The sequence below is a fragment of the Homo sapiens genome, chromosome 18 (genome assembly GCF_000001405.40).
Source record: "Homo sapiens chromosome 18, GRCh38.p14 Primary Assembly".
NCBI classification, from domain to species: Eukaryota; Metazoa; Chordata; class Mammalia; order Primates; family Hominidae; genus Homo; species Homo sapiens.
Window position 1 is genome coordinate 62340416 of NC_000018.10, and position 19257 is coordinate 62359672.

The 19257-nt window shown below is 43.5% G+C and overlaps 1 protein-coding gene across 10 annotated transcripts in view; it reads left to right on the forward strand.

Annotated features, from left to right (window-relative positions):
• Nucleotides 1-19257, forward strand: part of TNFRSF11A (TNF receptor superfamily member 11a) — a 65979-nt gene that overhangs the window by 15106 nt on the left and 31616 nt on the right. For 4 of the 10 annotated variants that reach the window (NM_003839.4, NM_001270949.2, NM_001270950.2 and 1 more), the window contains exons 2-5: nt 7753-7834; nt 9397-9522; nt 13976-14119; nt 17833-17926. In NM_003839.4, the coding sequence (NP_003830.1) occupies nt 7753-7834; nt 9397-9522; nt 13976-14119; nt 17833-17926 (446 nt within the window). Of the gene's footprint in view, nt 1-7752; nt 7835-8293; nt 8419-9396; nt 9523-13975; nt 14135-17832; nt 17927-19257 lie in introns of those variants that run through there. The other 6 variants (XM_011526245.3, XM_017026064.2, XM_017026065.2 and 3 more) reach the window with 5 other exon arrangements.

Genomic DNA, 19257 nt, shown 5'->3' on the forward strand with positions numbered 1-19257 from the left:
AACTCCTGAGCTCAAGCAGTCCTCCCACTTCTGCCTCCCCAAATGCTGGGGTTACAGGCGTGAGTCACTGTGCTAAGCTTTTTTTTTTTTAATCAATTATAATATTGTTTGTGACAGTTATAGTTTCTTCATGATCTTCTCCAATAAACTAGACACATATTTTCATATTGTACAAATCACAAAATGTATGAGCCTAACTTTTGGCAGCAGAATTTTTTTTTCAAGAGCTATGTGTAAAATATATTTCTTAGAAATGAATTATATTTTAAACACTCAGGGCATTTTCTGTTAAACCCTGTGATTCTCTGTATCTACCTCTGTTGTGACTTAGGCCATGTACCTGACTGGTATAACTTAGGACCTCCAAGTTTTTAATGTGTTACATGATTGACAGGTTTCCCAGGTAGGGTGAACACACCCATGGGGTGTGCCACGTGATCCAGCAAGGTGAGCAGGGGATCCTAAAACACTGCCCCTTTATCCTCACGGTCTCTTATAACACACCATCTTGGTAGGCGCCTATGCGATGTTGTTCTGAAGCTTGAAATGTGAAGCTCTGGTTTGTACAAAAGAAACATGCCTGATATTTTCTCTGTGAATCTGTAAGATTGAAATTCTATCTGCCGAGCTTATTTAAAATGAGAATGTCTAGGATATTCGATCATAATTCGTTTATGTCCTAGTTAACAGAAATCACAGATATAATCTGGCAGCAGCTTTATCAGCAGACGGACTGAGTAAACTGTGTCTGCCTTCACCCAAGTGTGGCTCGTGGAACTGACTGAACCCCCAGACAGAAAAGCACTGAAATGACTCGGACCACTCATCGCCAATTTCACATTGATGCCTCAAGTTTCCAATCCCGTGATAAAGGACTTCTTTATGTGAAATCAAACATGCTTTTTAACGCATGCATTTTTTCCTAGTTGTCCTGCTAAAATACTCTGCTATGCAGCTTTGGTTTGTCATAATCAGGTTAAAAGTGCACAAGGATGGTTTGTGCGGGAAGATTGTCAGGCCTTGAGAACTTGTCTCTGGGTACCCAGTTTATCTTTTCCATCATTTTTCCCCTTTCTAGTGACACCCTTTTCCCTCTCTCCCCTCAGGGAATGACTGGATGGAAGTTACATATACTTTTACTAATTCCACTCAGCTGTGCCCGTGAATATCCCTCCTCTATTGGATACAGACCACTGCAGTGGGGTGTGATACAATCACATCTCCATTTCTCCCAGCAGCCTACTAGAAAGGTCTTCAGCTTTGAATTGAGGAGGCAGAACCTTTGTGTTTGTGCAGTCTGGCCGTTTGCCAGTGCCACATCATGTATAGGAGTTCTCACGTCTGCCTCTCAGTGCAGCAGGATAGGCACAGTTATTAATTAGCACTATTGTACAGGTGAGGAGACTCAGGCTGAGAATGGCTTTTTTTTTTTTTTTTTTTTTTGGTCCTGAGATTTTAGAAATGTAGTCAGTTTTATTAAAGAAATATCAGGCATTCTTCTCTCCGGGTCAAACTGGAAGCCCAGTTTCGAGGACTGCCCTGGGTAGAAAAATCCTCCTTCCCTGAAGCCCAACTCAGTTCTTGGGGACTGCCTGGCCAGGCTACTTCATACTCTTGTCACCAGCGCTCAAGGTACCTTGTCCCCTCCTCCAACCTGAGTTCTCCTGGCCCTTACTTCTGCTTTGCTAAAATTCCCATGTGCAGACTGGGTGTGGTGTCTCACGCCTGTAATCCCAGCACTTTGGGAGGCTGAGGTGGGCAAATCTCTTGAGCTCAGGGGTTCAAGACCAGCCTGGGCAACATGGTGAAACCCCGTGTCTACCAAAAAATACAAAAATTAGCCCGGCATGGTGGTGGGCACCTGTGGTCCCAGCTACTCGGGAGGCTGAGGTGGGAGAATCTCTTGAGCCTGGGAGGTCAAGGCTGCAGTGAGCTATGATCATGCCACTGCACTCCAGCCTGGGTGACAGAGTGAGATTCTGTCTCAAAAAAAAAAAAAAAAAAAAAAAATCCTATATTCTGTCATGTCAGACTTTCTTTGTCATTTAATTTTTTTGAATAGGAATCTGCCCTATCTGGTGTCTGGGCCTCACGTGATTCCTGCATCATTTCCACTCCTGGTTATGAATGTTTTGCTGCGAATCACCATGGTGGGACGTTTTCCTCACATTCACAGGCACAGGACTGTGCCATGATCCAGAATAGAAAGCTGGATAAAATAGAGATAAATTTAGCTGGAGAAAGCAGCTAAGGAAGGGGCAGACCAGGAATGATAGCCCAGAACATCTGAATTCAAAGGGTCTATATTTTGACTCATTAATGGAAACACTTGTGACCGGGAGAAACTGAGACCTTCTCGCCGGCCTGTCAGCCCAGGTGGCTGAGAAAAAAGACATTCAAAGAAATGGACAAGAACCAAGAGCATTTGTTTGTAGGTTACTCTGATGTATTAATTCTACCTTTTATATGTTTGTTGTTTATTTACTTCTAAAACAAAGTGCTTCAAAGAGAAATAATTCCTTAGGGTAAGATTGTCTTATTTAAAGAAGCTCTTTTAGTGTTTTGGGTACACAGGTTGCTAGTAATTTATTTGTATTCTGTTCTGGGTAGGATCAGTTTCGATAGTGACTTTCTTTAAAGATATTTTTTTCCAGGACAGCAGGGCTGTTAAGTGAAGTGTTGTTTTCACATTTAATCGTTTCTCTCTTAAGAAAAACCACATCTTTCGACTCTACTGTAAGATTCAGAAATTTGATACCATCCTTACTGAAGTTATAGCCAAATTCTGAAATATAGTCAAGGATGATATTTTATAAAACAAAATCTATGGAAAATCCCTCATTTGTTCTTCTAGGTTACGTTCTTTTCGTCTCGATTTGACAAGAGGGGCCAAGCCTCTTTCTACATCGTTCGATGTCAGCATGAATTTTCAGTGGAGCAAGAAAGTAATTTTAGTATCCATAATGACTTGCACTACAATTGGGTTAACAGCATGGAAAATAAATATTTAAGTCAACCTTCCCTGCAGGATTCTAAATACAGATCTGCTCGTCTCTGTGGCTCCACTGGCAGAAATGTTATGTTTCTTCAGCTTATGGTTTTTCAGAATTAGACTCAACATGGCTTTGCGTAGGGAAATAAATCCACATTGCTTTATAAAGGGATTTTTTAATTTCAAATTTATTATCTCCCCCGCCCTCCGAAAGCCTTGCACAGACTGTGGACATGGTTATTCTAGAAGAGTCCATCAGCCGTTAAGATAAACACCAGCCTGTATGCCCTGAAACAAATGCGTAGAAGACACAAAAAGACACAAGAAAGCGAAGCAAGAGAAGTCAAATCATCTTGCTGTTTTAACTCCTTTTTTTAGACTTAGCAAGGAATTTGTAGGGGGAATTTGTATGTGCAGAGAATATTTGCTATGAACAGACTAATGTTCCTTATTAATTCCAGTGAGTTCTGTCAGAATACAGGTTAGTTGATATAGATTCTGTGGACCAAAGAGAATATTTTCAGCTTATTGATTAAGAACTATACTCTATCAATCCATGGCTGCTTTTCTAAACAAGACCTCTAAGAAGTCAAATTATATTCCCCAAAACACAAGAGCAACCTGATCCCAGCCAGCCTCCAAGGCGGCTGTGATGTAGAATAGGCCCTCGATTAGATCACAAGTTCATTCTCCTTTCACCTCCAGAAGAATGCACCCCAAAAGATGGCCGGTAACATGGGTTACCTGTGCAGAAGAGTGACTGGGAGAGACTGGGACAGAGTTTCCTAAGCAAGCTATTGTTCGTTTTGAATTTTGTCTCATGGGACTGTATTCCCTATTCAATAAATAAAAATTTAAAAGTATTTCTGCTTTATTTGCTTCATGAAGACAACTGCGATTCCAAAGCTTTGACTCTATCAGTCTTAAAGGTGAACTAGAAAAATCTCAGTAAATAAAAGCCTGTACATCTCAACTCAGTCATCAAAGGCTTTTCCTTGCTGCATCTTAGGGAAAAAGAGGCAACTGTAAGTGGCTGACAAAATCACTCTATTAACTGAAGATCTGGGGCCTTATGCCCAAATTTCCCCATTCCCTGGGAGATTCCTTAAGAACACTTAAGCAGGAACATGTTTTTATCAAATGATTGCTTTACTAGGGCTGCTACCGATAATAATAGCTACCACTTTGCAACCCTGGGGAGCTTGGTCTTGGAGGATAGAGTCTGACTGAAGTTCTAGGCAGGTGAAAGGGAAAGGCAGAAGCCTAGAGGGCTACTGCCAAGGGGATCTGGAGCCATCTTCAGGCTCTTGCCAGCTGCTGGCTGGCAGGGCAGTTAATGGTGAAATGGTAGACATCAGAACCAGAATACTGTAGGCAAAATGAGAGGTCAGACTGGGAGGGGCAGGGACAGCCGTTCATTCATGCACACAAAAAAATGACACCCAGAGGATGAACCTGACAGGCCGTGCAGGCAGAGGGAGACTGGTATAAGGAAACAGATCCAGGGCAGTCTAACGGGAAACTGAGCCCAAGCATGTGGGACTCAAGACAGAGTCTGGGGATCAGGAGCAAGGAGAGAGCCAGTCTGGCCTGCAGCGTCAAGGGGACAAGTCGGTCAATCCTCAGGTACCTGGCAAAGCAAGACAGGCTGGAGTGACAGAAGCACTGGATTTCCTAAGAGTTACAAGCATGGGGCTGCAGTGCACAGCGCTCACCAGGCGATTTGTTGCTGGAACTGAGGCATGAGATTAGAATGAGACCAGCACAGGGCACGCTTTACGGGCTGTGTGGGGAGGAAAAGGGTCTGCAAGTGGAGGGAAAGAACACTGGAAGCAGAGAGCCAGAAAGGAAGAGGAAAAGGGGCAATAAAGGCATGCTTTGTCTTTGGCATGCACCAACAACCTAAAGAGTTTTCCAGATTTCCTTTATTTACTTGCAAACCACATTTACTTAAAAATATGTACTTATGTTGCATTTTAAGTTGTATGTATATTGCCATGTTGAAGGTTTGAAGGTATACTTCAAAGTATATCATGTAACTAGAGAACAAAGTAGGTTTCTGCTTAAGCTGGACCCTAAATGAGATTAAAAGCATAATTTTCTGCCTCACCATAGCAATTTTCCCAGCAGCAAAATTTCTGCTGCTGCTTAAAAGATCTGTAATCCTATAACTCTGTCAAGTAGACATGTCAGTTTTGGGGTGATGAAAATGTTCAGGAATTAGATAGCCGCGATGGTTGTTCAACCTTGCCAAAGTGCTAAAAACCACTGAACGGTAGGTATACTTTAAAAGGTTTAATTTTATGGTCCGTGAATTTTATACCTCAGTTTTTGGGCAGGGGTGGGAGGGCAAGAGGCACATTCAGGTGAAAAGTCATAGTGAGGTAGAAGCTTAGGAGAGAGAAATGGATTTTATATCTGTGACAATCAATTAAAAGTTAGGACAGCTGGTCATTTCTGGAAGCAGTGACTTCCTTGTTTCTTCGAAGAGGTGTAAAGCTCCTGAGTTGGAGGATAGGTGGGTTGAATGAATCGCAGCCATACTCCTAAACATGGAGTGAATTGTCTACATGTTCAGGTCAGATATACTCAACAGGCACCAGGGCTTGGAGCCCAGGACACAGCTTGTGACATCTGACAGTGCCCCTAAGCAGCTACTTCAGGGATATCCCATTTACCAAATTCCCCTAAAAAGTACCTTTCTGTGTGTAGAACACAAAGTATGTGCTCATTTTACTGAGTCTGTGGCTGCCCCCTTAGGGGATCAGAAGCAATTAATACCCTTTGTCATCTGAAATACAGTCCAACTTCATATTTATCCTGTTTGCCTTGTCATCAGCATTGCAACAATGCTCATGAATCCTTAGGCTCGGATGAATCCAGCTTTTTGACCCAGTTTGCATGGCCGCATGTAGTTTTACCACTTTGCCTCTTTCTTCTGTGCATGTACATTACACACAGAGGGAGACAGAGAAGGGTGGCATCTAAAACAGAGAAAAGCATCTCAGAAGGGAGAGGTGTGGTGGCTTCTTTTAAGCAATTCTTCCTCAGTCCGCTGGGCTCAATGCAGCTTCCCTAAGACTCTGTCACCCAGTGAATACATGGGGAGCATCTGATGTGTGTTACCCGGTGTCCACGGGGAGTGTTAGCAGGGCCCAGGAAGCAAGTCCAAGTACAACCTTCCTGTCACACATCACCTCAATAACACACTGGGACCTTCTCATCGACCTCAGCCTCCTCATAACCCCTTTGCTGGCCAGGGTGAGGTCAGAAAGGTCCGTGATGGCTGTGTGCCCCACACCCACTCAGCTAGCCTGGGCTTTCCTGGGTTTGGTGCTTTCTTTATAAAGCTGCCTTCTATAATGGAGCTATTTTGAGGATGCATGGCTTTTTCCAAGCCATATTATCTCTGCGCCCTCCATCCGAGCACTTTCATATGCAGATGAAGCCCTCCCCTGACTGCCTTTGTGACACTGGGCTCCAGCTGGACTGAAGGTCTCTTACTGCCTCCCAAGAGCTGTTTCAGGCCTCATTGCCCCTGTTTGAACTGCTCATATTGTCCAAAGTCTTCCTACTTCCTCCCACTACCTCCACCTGCCAGTTTCTGTTTCCTGGTCTGGCTGATTTCTATTTATCCTGGAAGGCTGATTACTTACCACCTCCCTCAGGAAGCCATCCTGGCTGCTTCTGCTTCCTTCCTACTACTGCTGAGGTAGGGCCCATCTGGTATGTGTTTCATTCCACTCTAAGACCCTTGAGGGGAAGGTTTGTGACTCTGTATTCGACGACACAGCAGGGAACTTGCATGAATCGCAAGTGTGGTGTGCATACGTGGATGTCTGTTCGGCTAAGCCCAGTTCTTCAGTTTCTGACATGACTGCTTGTCAACAGGAGTGTGTGTTGTTTTTTGCTCACACCAAGAATGCTGATCAGGAAAAGAACTTTTCTGTGGCAAACTGATAAGAATCTCTGGGTGATTATAGATGCCTGGGCTGCTCTGTTTTCTTTTGTTTTACTCAGATGGGCAGATTCAGAAATTGGTATTTGTCTTAGAATCATACCGTTTTGAACCAGAAGGGAACCAGAGGCTGAGGAAGCTTAAACAGCTCCTGCAGTCCTTCAGGCAACAGGTAGTGAGGGCAGAGCCCAGGAAGCCCCTACAACACCTTGCTTTCCCCGCTTTTTAAAATTCTCTGTGTGTTTAACAAGTTAAAAGGTAAGCAGGCCGGGCGTGGTGGCTCAGGCTTGTAATCCCAGCACTTTGGGAGGCCGAGGCGGGTGGATCACCTGAGGTCAGGAGTTCAAGGCCAGCCTGGCCAACATGGTGAAACCCCGTCTCTACTAAAAATACAAAAATTAGGTGGTGCGTGGCTATAGTCCCAGCTACTTGGGAGGCTGAGGCAGGAGAATCGCCTGAAACCAGAAAGCAGAGGTTGCAGTGAGGTGAGGTTGCGCCATTGCACTCCAGCCTGGGCAATAGAGCAAGACTCTGTCTAAAAAAAAAAACAAAAAAACAAAAAAAAACCCTGTAATCCCAGCTACTCAGGAGGCTAAAGTAGGAGAATCGCTTGAGCCTGGGAGGTAGAGGTTGCGGTGAACTGAGATCACGCCATTGCACTCCAGCCTGGGCAACAAGAGCGAAACTCCATTCAAAAAAAAAAAAAAAAAAAAAGTAATTTGGTGATTCCCTTTTTGTTTTACCTAGTTTTATCCAGAAAGAGCTGTGTGGACTCTCTGCCTGACCTCAGTGTTCTTTTCAGGTGGCTTTGCAGATCGCTCCTCCATGTACCAGTGAGAAGCATTATGAGCATCTGGGACGGTGCTGTAACAAATGTGAACCAGGTACACCTGCTTCTGAGCCACCTTGCATTGCCCCTCAAAAGTGGGTGAGGCTTTCATTATTTTTTCTGTCTGCCAGATGAAAAAAAGAAATTGGATAGACGCGTTATGGTAGTGGCAGGTGGTAATGTCTGTCACTCTGAAGACAAAAATCTTTCTCTCAATAGAGATTTGAAGGGATTTTAAAATCCCTTAGAAAAAAACAAAAACAACTTTAAAAACTGTTGCTTAATTTGGGCTGAAACACAATTTTCCAAAACACTATTTCTCGAGATGGCAAGAAGTTTTTAAAAACTAATATTTTAGCACTTTATGACTCAAACTCTCAAATGTGAAATGCAGCTCTTACTTAAAATTGTTTTCACAGAAATTTTATTTTGGAATAACCACACTGGAATTGTTGCTGCTAAAAATTGCCTAAACCCTTGTCGTACCTTTTTCCATATACCTGTTGAGGAGCAGAAGGTGGACTGGCTACCACCTGCCCCAAGTTGTTCTGCCAGAAGTGTGGCTGACTATTTCTGCAGCCCCAGTGAAAGCCACAGTCCACGGGGCCCGCACTCTCTCATCATTCTGGGGAGGGGAAGGTGGGTTACCTTATAACAAGATATTTTGGATATTTCAGCTACAATTATTTATTGGATGTGCAGAACCAAGATCCAGTAATGGTCAAGTGTGTGTTGGATAGGCGGGTGGGGCGCAGCGTGACACTTGGTCAAACGAAGCTAACCATGAGCCGGTAGTAAGTGTAGAGGAAGTTAACAAAAAGAAGTTAACAAGAAGTTGCCTATCCAGATGGAAGGCAGAGGGGAGAGGGGATGGGTGATGAAGTTCCTCTTGCCTACCCCTCTTATTCCCTGAGTGGGTTCCAGGGAATCTTTCAAGTTCTGCGGCCCAGTTTAAAATCATCATTCTATTCCTTTTTTTTTTTTTTCTTTTTTTCTTTTTGAGATGGGGTCTTGCTCTGTTGCCCAGGCTGGAGTGCAGTGGCATGATTTCAGGTCACTGCAACCTCCATCTCCCAGAGGTTGAGGCAGCAATTCTCCTGCCTCAGCCTCCCAAGTAGCTGGGACTACAGTCACCTGCCACCACGCCTGGCTGATTTTTGTATCTTTAGTAGAGACGAGATTTCACCATTTGGCCAGGCTAGTCTCAAATTTCTGGCCTCAGGTGATCCGCCCGTCTCCGCCTCCCAAACTGCTGGGATTACAGGTGTGAGCCACCGTGCCTGGCCCATCATTCTATTCCTTAGCAGACTTTTTGGGTGCAGAGGGTGGTTGGCTTTTTACTTAGAAGAATTAAGAGACTGCTGTGACCACAGGCTCAGCGGACCCAGGTGGGGTTATTTCAGCCAGCTGCGTGGCCTGAGGAGCCCAGGGTGCTGCAGTCACTGCATTGTGGCCTCTTCTCCTGTGTCATATTGTCTTTGGGGGGTGTCCTGGGATCATGGGCACCAATGATTATTGGTCCCATAGATGGGTGCAATTTTTGTTGCTGTTTTGCTTTGTGTTGCTGTTTTTGTTTGGTTTTTTGATGGTTGCATTTTTCTCCCTCATTTTTTTAAGGAAAGTACATGTCTTCTAAATGCACTACTACCTCTGACAGTGTATGTCTGCCCTGTGGCCCGGATGAATACTTGGATAGCTGGAATGAAGAAGATAAATGCTTGCTGCATAAAGTTTGTGATACAGGTGAGCCCGTCCTGTCAGTGTGTCAGTGGGAAGTGTAGAAACCTCAGACCTCTTTTTCTATAGAAACATTTTTAGAGGCAGCCAATGATGTTTCGTTTCAGGAACATGAAAGGAAGTTGTGACTACACATCCCAAGAAAGATGCGTTTTAGATCCCCAAGGCCTCTGTTAAAATTCTTCATTTAGAACATTTGTTCTGGAATATATTTATGTTGCCATTTAATCATGGGACACATCATAGACTTGACATAATGTTTCCATAATGTTCCCACCTATTTTTGTGTGGTTTAATCCTCCCTGAAATCCTGTAGGTAGCCATACTTATCCCTTTTATTTTATTTGTTTATTTATTTATTTATTTTTTTAATTTATTTGAGACGGAGTCTCGCTCTGTCGCCCAGGCTGGAGTGCAGTGGCGCGATCTCAGCTCACTGCAAGCTCTGCCTCCCAGGTTCATGCCATTCTCCTGCCTCAGCCTCCTGAGTAGCTGGGACTACAGGCACCCCCCACCACGCCCAGCTAATTTTTTGTACTTTTAGTAGAGACGGGGTTTCACCATGTTAGCCAGGATGGTCTCGATCTCCTGACCTTGTGATCTGCCCGCCTCGGCCTTCCAAAGTGCTGGGATTACAGGTGTGAGCCACCGTGCCCGGCCTATCCCCTTTAAAGATTGAGAAACGGAGATTCAGAGAGGTTGAATAACTTCTCCAAGGTTAACACGTGTGAAGCAGGACTCAAAACCAGCTCTACTCTTCACCTTTTTCCTAAACTATAAATATTTTATTAACACAGTCTGATCTCCTTACCAGACTGTCTTAAGTTTCTTGCCTGGAATGTTTTTTAAAGTATAGTTTATTTGAAGGAATCAGGAGCAAAATATGTCTCTTAATTCTCTTAAGAAACAGAGGTTCCTTTCTCTCCCTTCTTTCCTTTTTCCATTGAGCTCATTTTTTGAAGAAACCGTGATGTTAGTCCTGTGGAGATTGCACAGGCCACATTTTGTTGGTTGCATTCCCTTGGTATCATTTAATGTATTATTCTGTCCCTTATATTTCTTTTTTCTTTCTTTTTTTTTTTTTTTTTTGAGATGGAGTCTTGCTCTGTCACCCAGGCTGGAGTGCAGTGGCACAATCTCAGCTCACTGCAACCACTCCCTCCCGGGTTTAAGCTATTCTGCTGCCTCAGCCTCCCCAGTAGCTGGGATTACAGGCACGTGCCACCATGCCTGGCTAATTTTTGTATTTTTAGTAGGGCTGAGGTTTCACCGTGTTGGCCAGGTTGGTCTCAAACTCCTGACCTCAAGTGATGCACCCGCCTCAGCCTCCCAAAGTGCTGGGATTACAGGCGTGAGCCACAATGCCCGGCCTGACCCCTTCTTATAAATTGGTTGTTAGATCAATTTCTTATAAATTGGTTGTTAGCTCTAGAAGGCCAATCAGATTCTGCTTTGTTTTTTGTTTTGTTTGTGGCAAACTTCATATATAATATAGTTCATACATAGAATATTAGAACCATGTAATAGCTGAGCATTCCTCTTTCTAACATTAGCAGCTGCTGATGGTCATGGTTTAGATGTGTTTCCTTTAAGGGCTGCAGAAAGGTGATGTTCTGATTCTCTCATTTCTTTTTCATTTATTAGCTGGCATGCTTTATGAAGATAAACTTCCCTCATCAACTATTTATTGATAAAGTTACTGCATTTATCCTGTAGTGCAGTACATATAGAAAAGATAGAATAAATGCTTTTAACCTTATTTATCACTTTGCAAAACAATATCTTAATCATCCAGCATTCTCCCAAGGACTTATATTATGGAGCTATTTGAGGTGTTTTAGTTTCAGTCTATTGCAGTTATTGTTGCTGTTGTTTGTTTGTTTGTTTTTGAGTCTTGCTCTGTCGCCCAAGCTGGAGTGCAGTGGCACAATTTTGGCTCACTGCAACCTTGGCCTCCCGGGTTCAAACGATTCTCCTGCCTTGGCCTCCCAAGTAGCTGGGATTACAGGCACGTGCCACCATGCCCTGCTAACTTTTATATTTTTAGTAGAGAGGGCGTTTCACCGTGTGTCCAGGCTGGTCCTGAACTCCTGACCTCAAGGGATCCCCCCGCCTCGGCCTCCCAAAGCGCTGGGATTACAGCATGAGCCATGGTCCCTTGCCTGCAATAACTGGTTGTAATGGTGCTCAGATTGTCACATTTCTATGAGGTGGCCCAAGGTGTTTTGATACAGCCCAGGCATCTATTGCTTCCATGCTTAGCTTGCACAATCCTTGTCTTAAACTACAATCAGACATTTCTCTAAGGTTTCATGATTGTTTTTAGAGGAACATTTTATTTAGTGACCTCAGTCTGGACTCTAGAGAAGACTCACTACTGGATTGATCCTTGTGTATAGAAGTTTTTTCCCCAATGGACAGAATTAGAGAATAAGTGTTTCTTTTAACACCATAATTTTTCTAATGTGCTGGAGACAGCTGGCAGATTTTGGCTAGGGAAGGTAACATGGAAACTCCACTGAGCAGAAGCATCTGATCAAGCCTTTTTTATTTCCCACTGCTTAGTAATGACCTTGACTCATTGCTGTCTCTTGGAAATAAAGATTCATTCTGTCTACTGCCAAAGTTGATTAAAGCCAAAAATCTGGTACATTACATACAATATTTTAAATTATGTCAAAATTATTCATCACCACCCAGGCTTACATTCGGATGGGATCCTAGGAGTAGTTGGAATTTTCCAGAGAAGTGGCATGTGTCTGTGGACGTTCCCATGTGTTGTGGACATGTTTTTGCATTTTGGCCTTGATGTTGCAGAGCTGACTGGGGCCTTGGAAGAGTGGGCACTGCAGGAAATGGGGACTTCTCCAGGGTCACCAAGCTTGGGTCTATAAAGATTGGAAATAGGAAATGTCCCCTCCCTACTGGCTGTAACTTGAGACCATAAGAGACAGCGGGTTTCTGGTTTGTTGGCTTGTTTTTCCCTTGGAATTCCTATAAGTATTCAGGAATATAAGGTGCAGGGGCTGTTTGGACAATCCAGGTGAGAAGGAGCCCTAGAAGGGTACAAGGTCTGTTTTAAATAATGTTATTGTTTTGTATCATGTTGGGGGGTATGGGGTCATGTACTTATGTGCAGTTGACTGTGGTTATGCACAGTAGTTATGTTCTATAAAGTCACCGTGAACACTGAATTAGCAAATCCTGAGCCATTACTCCTAGTGGATTACAGGGTGAGGTTCCTGCAAGCCTCCAGTCACACTGTCACGGACTGATCACCACGTAAACTTGTTTCATGTGTGTTTCTGTTAAAGACACCTTATTTGATACATGTTGTTGATTCATTAACATTGCACTCATGGCCAACAGCACTGTAATTCATGCCTGAGTGAAGCTTCTCTAACACACTTATTTTCTCTGTAAGGCACACCACAGTTTTCTTGCACTTAGAACGCTAGACAGCTCTTCAGCACGACAGTTGGGGGCTGTTGTAAGCAGGGAAATCACCAACAAAAAGCTCGTTTACCTTCTGTGAGCTGAAACAAGAAGGCAGAGCATCGATTACCCAACCTCAGCCAGAAACCTGAGTGTGGAGCAACTCAAAATGTACACGGTTCTGTCCCTGAAGGACTGCAGAAGTACCAAGAGGATTGATTTTGGGGTGCAAATAAATTTTATTGAGCAGGTGAATTCACAAATATGAATCTGCAAATAATGAGGACTATTGATTGATCAATAATTTGATTCATATTTGTGTGTGTATGTAGTTTATAACAGATACGTGTGTGTGTGTGTGTGTAGTTTACAACAGATCAATTCCCACGTACCTGCATTCCAGAAAAACTGGAAGGGGCCAGGAGATTTGGAACAAGAAGGCCATGTGTTGTGAAAACAGAAACAAGCATGTTACCCTGAGTGCTTGAGGAGAGTTTGACTCCAAGCATGTCACTGGGCCTGCCTCTGTACCCTCTCCATGCATGTAACTCCACAACAACCCGTTTTCACCCTGGGATGCCTCAGGATCCTACAATGAATCCTAAACCTCCAGAAACCCTGTTCTCTAAGGTCCAGTCTTGCGTTAGTCTTATACATATGGCATTTGAATTTACAAAAAACGAGGAAGCTCAACTCTGTGACCCTTCTGCATTCGCCAAAACATTCAATGATCATCAATTCCCAAGTCCTTATCTTTCTACTAACATGAAAATTGACTTTTAAAAAAAGCCCACAAAACTCTTAATTATGAGAGAGAGAAGAACCCCCCCGTGACGTTTTCGTGCCAGTGCAGGAAGTGCGAGGAGGAACTTGGGACTTCTCGAGCAGTGTCCTGGTGATTCACTCTGCAGGCCTGCCAGGCGGGCTGCTGCTCTGGGCTGGATGTTGGATAGCGCAGTCGTGGGCGGTGTGTTTGGGCTGCCTGCCCCTCCCTGGCCACTGACCTGTCTCTTGTCTCCCGCAGGCAAGGCCCTGGTGGCCGTGGTCGCCGGCAACAGCACGACCCCCCGGCGCTGCGCGTGCACGGCTGGGTACCACTGGAGCCAGGACTGCGAGTGCTGCCGCCGCAACACCGAGTGCGCGCCGGGCCTGGGCGCCCAGCACCCGTGTACGGGTTGGATGTGTGCGTCTGTCGGCTCTTGCTGAGCCATGCAAAGCCAGCTTTGAGACAGTCTTGATAATAGCAGCAAGAAAGCTCCAGGGTGCTAGGCAGCATTGGAGGAACCTGAGGGATGGGGAAAGGTGGGGGCTGATTTTCCACGAGATACAGGCCCAGGCAAGACCTGAGAATGAATCCTCGGCTTAGGTTCTTCAAAGGGACTGCGGGCAATTTGCCTACATGCTCTGGCCATGGCCAGGGGTTGCTGGGGCTCCTCCATCCGTGGAAACCTGGGATCCCCACTTAGGAGCCAGCAGGATAGTGCAGGGGTGATTGGACGTTTTTGAAAAGTGTGCACCCATTAGAATTTTGGAAAAACCATGCATCCCCCACCCCAGCACGTTTTTAAGTTGACATCTAAAAAGTTTTGTTACAAGTTTGAAGAACTGATAAGGACTTAGTTACCAGGGAATTATAACTGCGATAACACTGAAGAAACGAATCCAGGGGAATGTAAACACCATGGCCATTTGTGCCCACTATGATTCATTTTTAAATGCGCCAATTGTATTTAACTATTGGACAGTTTACATAGTTACTTTCTCTCCTTTTGTTTCCTATCCATTCCACCTTCCCCATAGAATTTTATCCTGATATATTTTTTATGCTTGGAGGGTTTTTACTAATCACCTTTTCACATTCGAATATGCACATATTGAAAAATATGCACCTATTTGAAATCTTTATTTATTTTATTTATTTTTTTTTTGAGATGGAGTTTTGCTCTTGTTGCCCAGGCTGGAGTGCAATGGCACAATCTCGGCTCACCGCAACCTCTGCCTCCCAGGTTCAAGCGATTCTCCTGCCTCAGCCTCTTGAATAACTGGGATTACCGGGATGCACCACCACGCCTGGCTAATTTTGTATTTTTGGTAGAGATGGGGTTTCTCTATGTTGGTCAGGCTGGTCTCGAACTCCCGACTTCAGGTGATCTGCCCACCTCGGCCTCCCAAAGTGCTGGGCTGGGATTATAGGCATGAGCCACCACACCTAGTCAAAATCTTAATTTTTAAATATTTACTTTGACTGAGGGTTAAAAACATTTCTTCTGGACCAAGTTGTCACTGCATTTATTATTACACAATTGGTCACAAATGAATATATCCTATTTTGCTATATTATAATCATAAAAGTAAAAACTTCTGACCTCCATAATGAGTGGGATTGTTTTTCCAATTCATATATTTGTGGCTAAATATTACTTCTTGCTAAAATGCAACAGCATTCAACATCAATTCTGTTTCTACTTTTTGTTTTTATGTATGTAAGTGCTGAGAAATTTGTTCACATAAATAACTGAATGGCAAAGGAAACACTTTGGTTATAGGTGTGTCCCTCAATTTCTTTCAGTACCTTCTGATTTATGTGGCCAAGCTCACCTACTGATGTGATATCAGAAGTTATTTTTAACGCTCTATCAGTTGAGAATTCAATTGTGTCCTTCAATTTTGTTGAAAGTAAAGGAATAGAAATCCTTTTGAGTTGAAAAAGTATTTCTTAGAGTAATTTGCTTTCCTGACTTCTAGGAAGTATAACAAAAGCGTTTTTTTCCACGACTTAACAAATGATTATTTATGCCTATTACTCATTCCCTTAGAGGCACCTGGTTTTAACCCAAAATACTTGGACAGGGTTGGGAGAATTAAAATATTATCCATTTCAATTCATATCAAGGAAAATGTCCATCACAGAGTCTAACTGACACATTCGGTCTTTATTATCAAATGCATTGACTAAACCAGATGTGCTTTCTCTTACAAAAAGTCTGACTTGATTTTTTAATGGTTAAAATGGATCTCCCTATCACAGCCAACTCCCTCTGAATTCTGATTCTAAAATAGAAGAGGCCCAGAGCCTTTCCTTTAGGTTTTCACCAGCATGTCACATCAGGGATTCTATTAGACTTTCTCTCTGCCTTGTACCTTTGGAAATGGGTTCATTTTTGGACAAAATAGGTTGAGGATAGAGGGGAAACGGTAGATGAATGGAAATTTCACTCCTGTCCCACCCTGCATAATTTCAATTCAGAACAAGTCAGCCTGATCGCAGCTGCCCCATTTCTATCATCCTGCTTTTGCCCTTAATAGAGCGGGAAAGGTGGGAACTGTGCTGGGAGGCGCAGGAACTCTGCCATCCCCAATGTCCACTTGTCACCTCGTTCAGCATCTCAGAGGTTTGGCAGCATAGCAGCAAACTATGGGGTGGGTAAAAAGTATATCTTTTGTGAAATGGGAAAAGTGTGATTATGAAAGGGAGCAAGGAAAGGAGCCTGCAGGATGCTTCTGGCAGGTCAGTGTTACTAAGAGTCATATGGAAGTCAAGCTATGGAAATTAACACCCTTAACCCTTTGTATGCCTGTTAGCCCCCGTCTCTTCGATTTTGAGGGCTTCTCACAACTCTAGATTGTGCTTCTCTTTTAAAAAGCTGTTCAAATTAATGTGAGTTATTAGATGTCAACTGGGCTCTTCTTAATAAAGATTCAAGGCAAATCAAATTGCTAGGTGAAGGAGCGGGTACCCTACCTAGCCAGCCAAATTGCAGAAATCAACAGTATACTTCATACTTGACTCTGGACAAAGAAAATTTATTTCCTTTTTTTAGTGTTTTATTCACGAAAGTAAATCACAGAAGTGCTACTAATTTCAGGAGTAATTTGTGGTTTGGGCACCAGCCAGTTGCCTGATTATGATATCACATAGTAGCCAATGTTCTTCTTGGGACTTACCGAAGAATCATCATGTGTGGATTGCAGTAGAGGGAATAGGCATAGGAAACCTGAGACATTTATTTTGACAGTGTAGTTTTTGAAGAATATGAGAGTCAAGTCAGTTCACTAACCAGGATCAGCTCCTACTTTCAACACTGTCCATTAAGGAAGGGGTCTAAGATCCATTGTGCCACTGTGTTTATCAGTAAAGTTTTATTGGAACACACCCTCGTGCATTGCTTTTAATGTATTGTTGGACTGCTTTCATGCTATGAGTAGCTGCAGCAGAGACCATAGGCCTGCAAAGCCTAAGATATTTACTCTATGACCCTTTATAGAAAATGTTTGATACCAACCCTTGGTTGCAGGGAAAGAGACCTGTAGGGTTCTTCCTCGTCTTCTTTTTTTAACTGAGAAAACTTTGTTGACACTCTGATATTTGGACTGAGGAGATTAAGCTCATCAGAAGAGGTCAGGACAGTGACCTTCAAAGCAGTAATGTGTCTGCCATTCCCTGCAGACAGAGGCTGGGCTAGCTGGCAGGTGCATGGGGGAAAACAAGAGACAGATAGCAGGAGCAGTCAACATCGGCTCCCAGACTAGGAAACAAAGTGTCGGTGACCAGGGGAGTGGCTCAGAACAACAAAGGGTCATGACCAGAGCTAGCCTGACCTGGACATCACATACCAGTGTTAGTGGCCTGACATCAAGTCAGTTACCTTTCTGAGCGTGGTTCCATAACTCACTGCTGGGGTCAGAACTGCTCTGTGGGCCCAAGCCTGTGGGAGCTGAAGAAGTTAGACACAGGGGTGGGCACAGGGGTGGGAGGTGAGGGCAGAGAGGGGCAGCGCCTCACCTCCAGTCCTCTGGAGTCCCAGCCTGGATGATCTCTAAGTGACCTCGTTTGTTTTTTGTTTGTTCTGTCTGGGTTGTTTTTTTTTTTTTTTCTCACAGTGCAGCTCAACAAGGACACAGTGTGCAAACCTTGCCTTGCAGGCTACTTCTCTGATGCCTTTTCCTCCACGGACAAATGCAGACCCTGGACCAAGTAAGTAACAACAAAGGAGTCAGAAGAGATGGTTGGTTTTTAAACAACTCAACCTCCACTGTCTCGTCTGGGTTGAAAACGGACGGATTCTGTTGGGTTAGGCTTCCTCTTGAAGCCACGTTCAAAATGGAAAAAGTCTGTCAATTCAGCCTGGGGAAAATAAACCAGTCAAACTAATTCTTCAGCCCTATGTGTGACAGGAACTTCGTGTGACTTTTTAGATTTGGTAATCTGTGACTTACGGTTGCAGCTTTTTCTAACCTTGTTTGGTTGAAAATGATTTATAACATTTATTCAGTGGTCACGCCTACTTCTCCCGATTTCCCAACATCACTGATTTATTCATCCAGTTATTTGTGTGTGTGTGTACATATAGAAGCCTCCTGTTTATATAAATGTTTGCATGCTGTCAACATCGTGGGGTTTTTTTTCACATATTATATCCTGAAGCTTTTTCTATATTAGTTCACCAGTTCATGATTTTCTTGGCTTTTCACAGCTGCATAGTATTTCATTGTAGAGATGTACTGTAAGTTATGTAATAAGTTCTTTATTGATAGTCATTTAGGTTGTTCCCAGTCTTTTACAGTAATACATAATTTTTTAATGAAGAATCTCATATATATATGATTTCTCACGTATGTGAGTAAATCTATAGTGGAATTCATGGGTCCTTTCATTGCATGTTTGTTGTTGCATACCAATAATCAACATAATGATTCTTTCAGTTCCCTGTATATTTCTTATTAAATGTTTATTTTCTGCTGGGCATGGTGGCACGTGCCTGTAATCCCAGCTACTCAGGAGTCAGAGGCAGGAGGTTTGCTTGAGCCCAGGAGTTTGAGAACAGCCTGGGCAACATAGCAAGACCCCATCTCACATTTTTAAACAATGAAAATTAAATTAAAATACATAAATAAATGTTTATTTTCTGATTCACTTATCCAAATTTTATGTTCAAGAGGATTTTCTGTGTTTTTCAAAAAGAGCAATCAGCAAAAGTATGTCACTTAACCATGTAATTGAAGCTATTGGAATATGCATTTTTTTTTTCTTGAGACATGATCTCGCTCTGTTGCCCAGGCCAAAGTGCAGTGGTACAAACACGGCTCACTGCACCTTCAACCTCCTGGGCTCAAGCAATCCTCCTGCCTTTGCCTCCACAGTAGCTGAGACCACAGGCACGTACACCGCACCCAGCTGATTTTTAAATTTTTTGTAGAGACAGGGTTTCACCATGTTGCCCAGGCTAGTCTCTAATTCCTGGGCTCAAGCAATCTTCTTGCCTCAGCCTCCCAAAGTGCTAGGATGACAGGCCTGAGCCACCCAGG